The following is a 10,988-nucleotide window of genomic DNA, read 5'->3' on the forward strand; positions in this document are numbered from 1 at the left end:
AGAACTTGAAATGTGGCTAGCATGAGTAAAGAACAAATTTTTAATTTTGTTTAATTTAATTTAAATATCTACATGTGGTTAGTGGTTAGAATATTGGACAACAGAACTCTAGAACATCTTCATCAACACAGAAAATTCTACTGGACAGTGCTGGCTTGATACACATAAGATATACATGGAAAACAATGATGGGTTAGTGATAGAAAAGAAAGGGACAATTCATATATTAAAAAGAAATATTTAAATGGCTTACTGATGGGCCTTTATATTGATTCAAAATTGGGGTTTTAGTGAGCCGAAGAGTCCCCATCTAGAGTGCTGAACTAATAATGCTTGTGAAGAATATCTTTACAATATGCACTTTTAAATTACTTACTAAAAGTTAAGATTAAAAAAGCATTTCAGATATACAGTAGCAACAGGTAAATTTAGGCCTGTAATTGTAAAATTATTTAATATTTGGTCAATGTTTATTGCATTTGGGCTACTATAGAAGCACTTAATATATTGTTTTATTTAATTTTCACTTGCAATTCTATGCTACTGTATTATTTCAGTGCACAATATTATTGTTGTTTCGATTTCAAATACGTAGAAACAAAGAAAAAGTTAAGTATCATATGGAAATATGTAGAAACAATGAAAATGTTAAATGTCGTGTGGAAAATTTTGAAAGTAGATAACAACAAAGCAGGGATTTCAACTCTCATCTCTTTGACACTAGCATCCAAATTTGTAATTGCTAATCTCTTCTTCACGGTCCATAGGGTGCTGCTTGAATAGTCTGATCTAAAACACTCTTTTTTAGGCAAAGGCTAGTGTGATGAGCAGCCACCCAAAGATATGTGATGTGATCAGTTGATATAGACATTTCAAATGCTCAATAAACCTAAACTGATTAATTTTTCTCAACATATAGTGTAAGAACTTACTTGCATTTTCATTATAAATATTCAGCATAAATCTATTGAAGCAAATATATGTAATTAATATAAACTATACATTAAGACATATAATATTAGTGTAATACTAATTACTTTAAAATAAAAATGAGTATTTTAAGTCACATTGTAACAACTTTATTTTTGTAAGTTCTGAGAACTCTAAACTTTGTGCATCAATAAAGGTTTCATCATGAATATACTATTTAAATTATTTTTTAATTGAAAAATAATTGTATATATTATATATTTTTGAAGTACACTGTGATATTTTGATATATGTTTGCATTGCAAAATGATTAAATTAAGCTAATAACACATCTATCACCTTGCATATTTATCATTTTTTGTGGTGAAAATAGTTAAAACCTACAACTTTGAAACATGCAATGAGTTATTATTTATTATAGTTACTATTCTGTGTGACAGATTACTAAGTCTTATTTCTCCTGTCCAACTGAAATCTTTTTATCCTTTGATCAACATCTCCCTTTTTTCTGTTCAACCCCTCTGCTCCTCTGATAAACACCATTCTACTCTCTATTTCTATATATTGAAGTTTTTAGTTTTCACATATGAGTGAGACCATGCAGTATTTGTCTTTCTGTGTCTGTGCCTGGCTTATTTTATTTAGCACAATGTTTATATATGTTGTTGTAAATGACAGAATTTTCTTCTTGTATAAGGCTAAATAGTATTCCATTGTATGCATATGACATATTTTCTTTAATTATTTATCCAATGAGGTACACCGAGTTTGCTTCCACATCTTAGCTGTTGTGAATAATGCTGCAGTGGACATGGAAAGGCAGATACCTCTTTGGCAAACTTATTTCAGTTCTCTTCAATATGTACTTGGAAGTGAGATTGCTGGATCATATGGTAATTCTATTTTTGGTTTTCTGAGGAAATTCCATACTAGTTTCCATAATGGCTATATTACTTTACATTCCCACCAATGTTGCACAAGAGTTCCCTTTTCTCCACACCCTTGCCAACACTCGTTATATCTCATCTTTTCAATAACAATTCTAAAAGGTAAGAGTTTGTATCTTGTGATTTTAATTTGCATCTCCCTCATAATTAGTGATCATGAGCATTTGTATGACTTTTTTGGGAGCTGTCTATATAAGTTCTTTTCCATTTTTTTGATTGGGTTCTTTGTTTTCTTGCTATTGAGACATTTGAGTGTTGTTTTTAAATATATTTTGGAGATTAGTCCTTTATCAGATGAGGATAAAGGGATGAAATATTTCCTCCCAATCTGTGGGCTGTCTTGTCACTCTATTAATTATTTTCTTTGCTGCATGGATGCTTTTTAGTTTGATACAATCCCATTTGTTTATTTCTGCTTTTGTTGCTGTGCTTTTAGGGTCTTATCGAAGAAATCTTCACCCAGACCAATGTCACCTATATTTTCTTCTAGTAGTTTTAGAGTGTCAGGATTTATGTTCAAGTTTTTAATCCTTTTTAAGTTGATTATTGTATATGGTAGGAGATAAGGGTCCAATTTCTTTCTTCTGCATGTGGTTATCCAATATTTCCAATACCATTTATTGAAGAGACTCTTCTTTCTCCATTGTGTCTTATTGGCACCTTTGTAGAAAATCAATTGAGCATAAATACATAAATATGTGAGTTTATTTCTGGGTTCTCTATCCTGCATCATTGGTCAATGTGTTTGTTTTTATGTCAGTGCCATGCTGTTTAGATAAATATAGCACTGTAGTGTATTTTAAAGTCAGGCAGTATGATGCCTCCAGCTTTGTTCTTTTTGCTCAAGATTGATGTGGCTATTTGGGGTCTTTTGTGGATCCATATGAGTTTTAGGATTGTTTTTCCTATATCTGTGAAAAAAATGGCATTGGAATTTTGATAAGGACTGCCTTCAATCTAAAGAGTGCTTTTGAAAGTATGGACATTTTAACAATATTAATTCTTCTAATTCATGAACATGGAATACTGTTTCATTCATTTATGTTGTAATCTATTTATTTCAGCAATGTTTTATAGTTTTAAGTATACAGATCTTTCACCTTCTTGGTTAAATTTACTTCTGAGTATCTTATATTTTGATGCTATTGTGAATGGGATTGATTTCTTAATTTTTTTTCAGATAATTCCTTTTTAGTGTAAAGAAATGAAATTGATTTTTTCTGTGTTCATTTTGTATCATGCAATTGTACTGAATTCATCAGTTCTAACAGTTTTGGTGGAGTTTTTAGGGTTATCTATGTATAAGATAATATCATGTGGCAATTTCACTTCTTCCTTTCCTATTTGGATGGCATTTATTTATTTATTTGTTTATTTTCTTTCTTTCTTTCTTTTTGTCTAATTGCTCTGGCTAGGACTTGTGGTACTATGGGCATCCTTGTCTTGTTTCTGATTCTAGTGAGAAAACTTTCTACTTTTAACCATTGAATACGATGTTAGCTGTGGGCTTTTCATATATAGACTGTATTGTGTTGAGGTACATTCCTTCTATGCCTAATTTGTTGAGAGTTTTTTATCATGAAATAATTGTGAATTTCATCACATGTATTTTTCTGCATCTATTGTGATGATCATATGGTTTTTGTCCTTCATTCTGTAAATATGGTATGCCACATGTAACAACTTGTGTATGTTGAACCATCCTTTTATTTCAGGGATAAATTTCAATCAACTATGGTGAATAATCCTTTTAGTATGATGTTTAGTTTTTGGTTTACTAGTATTTTGTTGAAGATTTTTGCATTTAGTTCACCAGGGACATTGGCCTGTAAATGTCCTTTTTTGGAGAGTTTTTGTCTGGCTTTGGTATCAGAGTAATGCTGGTCTTACAAAAAAATCTTGGAGGTATTCCCTCCTTTTCAATTCTTTGGAAAAGCATGAGAAGGATTGGCATTATTTTTTCTTTATAAGCAGAACTAAAGTAGAATTATTCCATAAAGTCATCTGGACCTAAGCTTTTTTGGTTAGTTTTTTTTTTTTACTATTGATTCAATCTCTTTATTCATTATTGGTCTATATACAGTTATAGTTTTTATTTATTTTTGATTCTATTTTTTTAGGTTCCATGTTTCTAGGAATTTATCTTTTTTTTTTTTTTTTTTTTTTTTTAACGGAGTCTCCCTCTGTCGCCAGGCTGGAGTGCAGTGGCGCCATCTCGGCTCACTGCAACCTCCACCTCCTGGGTTCAAGTAATTCCCCTGCCTCAGCCTCCTGAGTAGCTGAGACTACAGGCATGTGCCACCACGCCCAGCTAATTTTTGTGTTTTTAGTAGAGACGAGGTTTCACCATGTTGGCCAGGGTGGTCTCGATCTCTTGACCTCGTGATCTGCCTGCCTCGGCCTCCCAAAGTACTGGGATTACAGGCATGAGCCACTGCACTCAGGATATTTCTTCTAGGTTATCGGATTTATAGGCATATAATTGTTCATAGTAGTCTCTTATGATCCTTTGTATTTCTGTAGTGTCAGTTTTTATGTTTGCTCTTTCATTTCTGATTTCATTTTTTTATGTAACTTTTTTTTTTTTTTTGAGACAGAGTCTACTCTGTTGCCCAGGCTGGAGTGCAGTGGTGTGATCTTGGCTCACTGCAACCTCCACCTCCCCGGGTTCAAGCAATTCTGCTGCCTCAGCCTCCTGAGTAGATACTGTAATCCCAGATGGGATTACAGGCGTGCGCCACCATGCCCGGCTAATATTTGTCTTTTTAGTAGAGATGGGGTTTCACCATGTTAGTCAGGCTGGTCTGGAACTCCTGAACTTGTGATCCACCCACCTCGGCCTCCCAAAGTGCTGGGATTACAGGTGTGAGTCACCGCACCCGGCTGAAATCTCTTATATTTTTAACTTTGTTTTCTCATATACGTTTTTGCCCCAGTCATTTAAACTTATCACCATCTTTAATCCAACTCCAGAGTGTCCCACACATGTTAATGGATACTTTGAATTAATAATTTATTATACACTTTCCTTGTAAAAAAGGCTAATACATGTTTTAATTACATCAAAAAGAAATTATTAAGGATAAAAATTTTTTTGAAGGGTGACATCTTTAATGAAATAAATAGGCTTCTTTGTCCTTATTTGCTCTTAACTATTGCATAGAACATACTCTGTAGGATTTGCATCTTTCAGAAAGTCTGTTTCATATGGATCTAATCATTAAAACATACATTTGGTTGGCAGAAACTTCTACTATTTATAGATAAACCCAGAATATAAAAAGCAATTCAGGTTCAGAAAAAAAGAGGTGAATCAGATGTTTGTTGATGTTATCAAAGATAGTAGTGATACTCTTCTATCCAATATCCACAGAAAAGGAGCTCCCTTTTTCCTATCAGAAATAAAGCTATAGACTATGCAGAGAAAAGAGCATTATAAAATTTGCTAGAATAAAAAGGGGACCAGGGGTTTTAAGATTCCGTTGGAAATGATACTTGGAACTGGTAAGAAGAACACTAGATAGGCAGGTTCTTAAAGTAGGGGGAGGTATTATTAAAATAATACCTAAAATAATTAAAAGAGAGGGGATAAGAACTTATTAACGTGAGGGCACACTCATGTGGGTCTCATTCTGTAGACCTATGTCCTTGCCACCTCCAGGTAAACTCAAACAAGGTAAAGCAAAGCCTAATTTATTGACTTGCCTTCCCTCAGCATCACATAATTTTGGTACAATTCCAGCATGCTTAGAGAAATAAATATTGAAAATTGTACTTCTGTTTACTAGTGAAAATTAAAATTATTTTTCCAAACTTAGGAAACAGGCAAGAGTATACAACTTGGTGATTTTTAATATGTTTAGGAATTTTCTGATAGTCACTTGGGGGAAAAATAGGAAGAAAGAAATTTGTAGCTGGAATCTCTTAATTAGCCTTATCTGACATTGTTAGAGAATGGAATTTTCTTGCTCACTATATGTGATCAACAGCCACAGATGCATTGTTTATTATATGGAGTCCACTATATCTTACTAAGAGCCACACGTTCATTGTTTATGATTTCTGATTAATGGTTCACGCATGGCATCCTCAGGCACTGGCTTGAAATTGTCATGACCTAGGTTAAGCCATATAACAATAAAGGTAGGATAGTTTTCTATCCCAAAATATAAATCAGTAGTCTGGATTTCATGATCTTATGCAGACAACTTATTTCATGGGTTCTAAAATGATTTTCCTACACTCTGTCGAAACATTTCACACTTTAGTCTTCTTGCTGGTTCCTTTGTTAGCAAAACTTTCACACATGCTTAAGATAAAATTGTCTAAGACATTTGGTTTAATAATGGGTATTGTGCATGGTAGTTTGCAGAACAACTCCTGGATAGTTCTCTAGGGGTCATAGGAAAGGGCATTGGCTGTAACTTCAGTAAACATATTTTGATCGCAAAGAATAACCTTCTCCACACTGACCACCTAGTAACGCCATTCCATCTGGCAACATAAACAAAAGCCTTGTCCACTTCTGTATATATACTCAACAGGAATAGTGTTCCCAGATCAAATCTAAGGTGCCCAGTTAAATTTGAATTTCAAATGCATTTTTAAGTATATTAGGTGCAAGGGGGCATACTTATATTTTAAAAGTATTTATTGATTATCTGAAATTCAAACTTAGCATGCATGCACTGTGACAATACTAGTTGTACAGACAGAGAAGGAAGTAGCCTAGATGCAGGTTATATTACTTGCTCAGCAATCTTTTCAGAATGGAAGTTCTTTAAGAGATGTATTTAGTTGAAAAGTAGGGATAGGTGGAGCTAAAGATATTAGAACAGAAAGAGAGGCACCGTAAGGGTAGAAAGCAGTTTGTAGGGGTTAGAATTGGTGACTTCCTTCCTGGGGAGAGTCAATTCTTACAGAAATTTAAATAGCATATTCAAGCATGGGCTCTGCTGCATTGGTGGTCCACATATTGTCAGAAACAAACAAACACATGATAATCTGCCTATGTTCAACTATATACTAACTGCTACAAATGGAGACACTTAAATAATTTCACATGGAAATGATGAATTTAAATCAAACTAGACTTGATTCAAATTGCAAATATTTTCTTCGATTAGCTGGGAAAAATAGACTATATTATCTAACCTCGCCAAACCTCAATTTCTCATTTTAAATCAGGGAAGCAATATTTCTTATCTAAGGGCTGTGAGGAGTTTTCCTATAAGTAATATACTCACATTAGTGCCTGAGCTAATAAATTAAATACTCAATGCAATTTACCTAGTATTACTAAGTAGATGTAGCTATAAAATATAAATAAAATGATATTGTGGCAATATTTTTTATCTAAATAAATATTTCCAGCGAAACAAGACTTCACCTTAATTTACCACAGTATCCTTTACTCCTAGGGCAGTGATTTGGGGCAGAGTAAATATTCAAAACCTATTTGTTGAAGAAATGCATGTACTCAGATAATTCAATTTAAGCATCCGGCTTTCGTCTTGTGAAAACAACTTAGAACCATGTTCTATCATCTTGCTTCAGAAGATCTTTGCCTTTGGGCCTAGAAAAATTGTTTGTATAAAAATGTAGTTTAATTTGTATACCTTCTTTAGAGATTTCCACTTCAGCTGGTCAGATTAAACTTCAATTGTTTAATCCACAATAGAAGTTGCAAAAACTCGTCTCTCGTTATGTGTCAATATATTATGTGGAAAAAAAAATTCTATTTTTAACTTATTTTCCCTTATGGAATTTTGTAGCTACCTTATTCACAAACTATTGTGAACATAAAATGATAACTTTTCATTTTCAGATCAACAAAGAAATTATGAAAAGAGAATTTTTGCTATGATTATATAGTAAATTATAACCAAATTATTGCTAAAATCATTGTTTTAATAGCATAATTATAATTTGCATTACTCATAATAAAAAAAGAAAATATTCATAAAATAAAATTATTTTTTGCCTCCTAATTTCCACATTTAATTTGTTCTTGCCAGCATTTATGTATATGTTGACCATAACTCAGTAGCTAAAAAAGGTAAAAGAACTTTCTCTTTCACACCAACAGAAAGAGACTTCTAAATTAAAGCTACTTTTTATTTTCAGTCTTTTCACAATAGGAAATGATGATCTATTATTTCATTGGATTTGGGCTTTTGACAACAAAAGTAAAAAGAGATCTGGTAATTCAGAGAATTAAACTGTGTTTAATTCTGTACCAAAGATTAAATTCTGTACCAAGATTAAATTCTGTACCAAAAAGAAAAAAAAGAAACAGCTAGAGAGAAATTCATATTGATATGAGACAAATGTTTTGATGAAGGCTTAGAAAAAAAAGAATAGACAGTAATCAAACTAAGTATCATTCATGCACTACACACAGTGCAACCAAAAACAGATGTGAAGGGCTAATGTGACAGTAATACTAGATAATAAAGCTATTCAATGCCAGCTCACATTTACCTGATTATTACTGGTTCTTTGATTGAATTATATGTAAGAAAAGTATGTTGGTAAAGTACTAAATGTGTTTCAATTATTGAATTTGCCATCAATCCATCACCAAAAATAACCAACTCTCATCATTTAAGTCACCTATAAAGGTGCTGAGTCAGAAGGGCACACTGTAAAGCAAAATAAATCTACAAGTAACAAAAGCTATATTATTGAAAAATAATAATAATCACAACAATAGCTGAGCACTTTTTAAATGACTGGTCTTATGCCAAATGCTTTCTTTTCATTTTCTTTGTTACTCTTCTCAGAAGCCTTGAGCTAAGTGTTATTGTCATTTATGTTTTTATAGATAAGGAAACTAGCTTAAAGAAGTTAAATAAATTACGAAATCTCACAGGAGCAAAAAGTAGAAGAGGCAAGATCTATATATAGGTTTTCTGACTTCCACACAGCTGCACTATAGGCTCTGCTAGCTGGTCAGTACGTGATCATAACCTCACTCAATGTTCTCATCAGTGGAATGGGGTAAATGGTGATGCCCAGGTCTGGGAATTATTGTAGTAACAAATGAGAAGATATCAGAAGCCTGTGAAAATTGTGATGTCTAATACCATTACATATATTTTTACTATTAGCAAACAGCAAGTTAAGGCAATGGGTTTGTTGAAAAAAAATATGATAAGGCTTAGGCTTTATGATGCTTATAGTTGACAATTTCATAGATAATTAAAATAGATAATAGTATGAAAGCTTTAAAAGAGTTTATAGGAAGGAGAGATTTGATATGAAAGACAGCGGTCAGGAAGAAAAAGAGAAGGCTCAAATACCAGGTAAGAAAACTTGTATGGGACAATTTAGGACAGTGTTCCAGGGCTAAGTAGAAGTAGTCAAGAGAATTTATGTAATTCAGTGGCTAAGTGCAATATATGACAGCTTCTAATTCCCTATAGCTTTACTAATATGGTTTAGTTTTCACCAATATAACAGGTGAAAAGTAATACATAAAATATATTTCTGTAGTTGTATTAACTTTTTTAGTGATTTTGCACATCTCTTATAGGATTACATTTTGTAATTAATTTTCTGTAAAGATGTCTGCCCATATCTTTGTTCCTTTTTGCTATTGGTTTGTCAGGTATTTCTTCTGCGTTAGTGCGAGAGGCTTTTTAGGTGTTAAGATATTACTCCTTTGTGATATGATTGCAAATGTTTTTCTAATTCATATTTGTCTTTTGGCTATGCTTACATTGATTTTGCTGTGGAATATAGACACACACACACGCACACACACACATATATAATATATATTTTATTTATTCTGAATTTTGTGCCATGAAGAGAAAAAAGACCTCCATTCTGATATTTAAAAAAATACATATATTGTTTTATGGCTTCTAGGATTTTTGTGGTTTTATTTTTACATTTAAATATTTGACCCAAATGGAATTCTCCCTGGAGTAATAGTATCAAATAGGATTTAAGTTAATTTATTTTCCATGGGTCTACACAATTGTAGAAATAGCACTTATTATGAAAATCATACTTTGTCTTTCACTAAACTCCTGCACGTATTTGGGTATATTTGTAGGTTTTCTCATCTTTTACAGTGATCTGTTAATTTATGCATTAACATCACAGGGTTTTAAAAAGTGTTATAACTTTATAATATGTGTTATAAGTTAGTAGTGCTAGTCTTTCAACGTTATGCTTTATTTTCAGAATTTTTATGGATACTTTTACTTGCTACTTAACCACAAGAACTTTAGATTTCAATTTTGAGATGCCAAAATCTCTTCTTTTTATTTGGGAATTCCCTTAAATTTGCTAATCATCTTAGAAAGAGTTTCAGCTTTTTAATTTTGAGCCTTCTGCTTTTCAAATAGCATGTAAAATATGCAAATAGCATACCTAAGTTCTCTGGATATTTTCTCCCTCAATATCTGCATTCGAGACATAGTAAAATAAACTTGATCACCTAGCCTGATCATGGAGGCCCTGAGGTTTACCTTGATTGTGTCACTCTCAGTACCTGTATAACAAAAAGTCACTTTATTCATATTAACAGTCTGTTGGGCTCAACATGCAAGAACGAGATCAGCCTACAGTACAGACTGGGATGTACCCTCAGATCCCTGAGCTGGAAGGAGAAGGGGCAAGAGAGGATTGGGGTCCAGAGCCAAAGAGGACTGAGGGAGACAAAGGCAGCTGAGACAAAATGACCCATTATCAGAAGCCCTACGTAAAGCCAAGAAACAAGCCAGACTAAATCCCCAGCAACTGCATTGAAGCCAGCAGAAGAAGTGCAATCAGGTGGCTTGGCAGGAGCAGCATCCACTTTTTCTTGGGCATTCTTTTCACAGTGTAGTTAAATGTACAGCAGCATATCCTAGTCCAATTGTATTACTTATTTATTTTCTATCTGCCATACTCTAGAATATAAATATAGTAATGAAGGAATTTTTTAGTTTAACTGCCTTAAATCTTCAGCAAACAGAACCCTACTGAGCACTTAGTGCATACTCCAAAAATATTTTCGAAAGAAAACTTAACAAATACATACTGAATAGATAAATGCGTAACAATTGCAGGAATAAAGGGAGTAATGTTCTGCTAAAAGTGTTATCTCTGATTATT

The 10,988-nt window shown here is 32.9% G+C and overlaps 1 long non-coding RNA gene across 2 annotated transcripts in view; it reads left to right on the plus strand.

Moving 5' to 3' along the window:
• LOC105370220 (uncharacterized) overlaps positions 1 to 10,758 on the plus strand; it is a 49,062-nt gene extending 38,304 nt beyond the window's left edge. For both annotated transcript variants that reach the window (XR_941987.3, XR_941989.3), the window contains exon 6: positions 10,420 to 10,758. This is a non-coding gene — a long non-coding RNA (uncharacterized LOC105370220). The remainder of the gene's footprint in view (positions 1 to 10,419) is intronic.
• Positions 10,759 to 10,988: the final 230 nt, after the last annotated feature.

The sequence above is a fragment of the Homo sapiens genome, chromosome 13, assembly GCF_000001405.40.
Source record: "Homo sapiens chromosome 13, GRCh38.p14 Primary Assembly".
In the NCBI taxonomy this organism is placed as follows: Eukaryota; Metazoa; Chordata; class Mammalia; order Primates; family Hominidae; genus Homo; species Homo sapiens.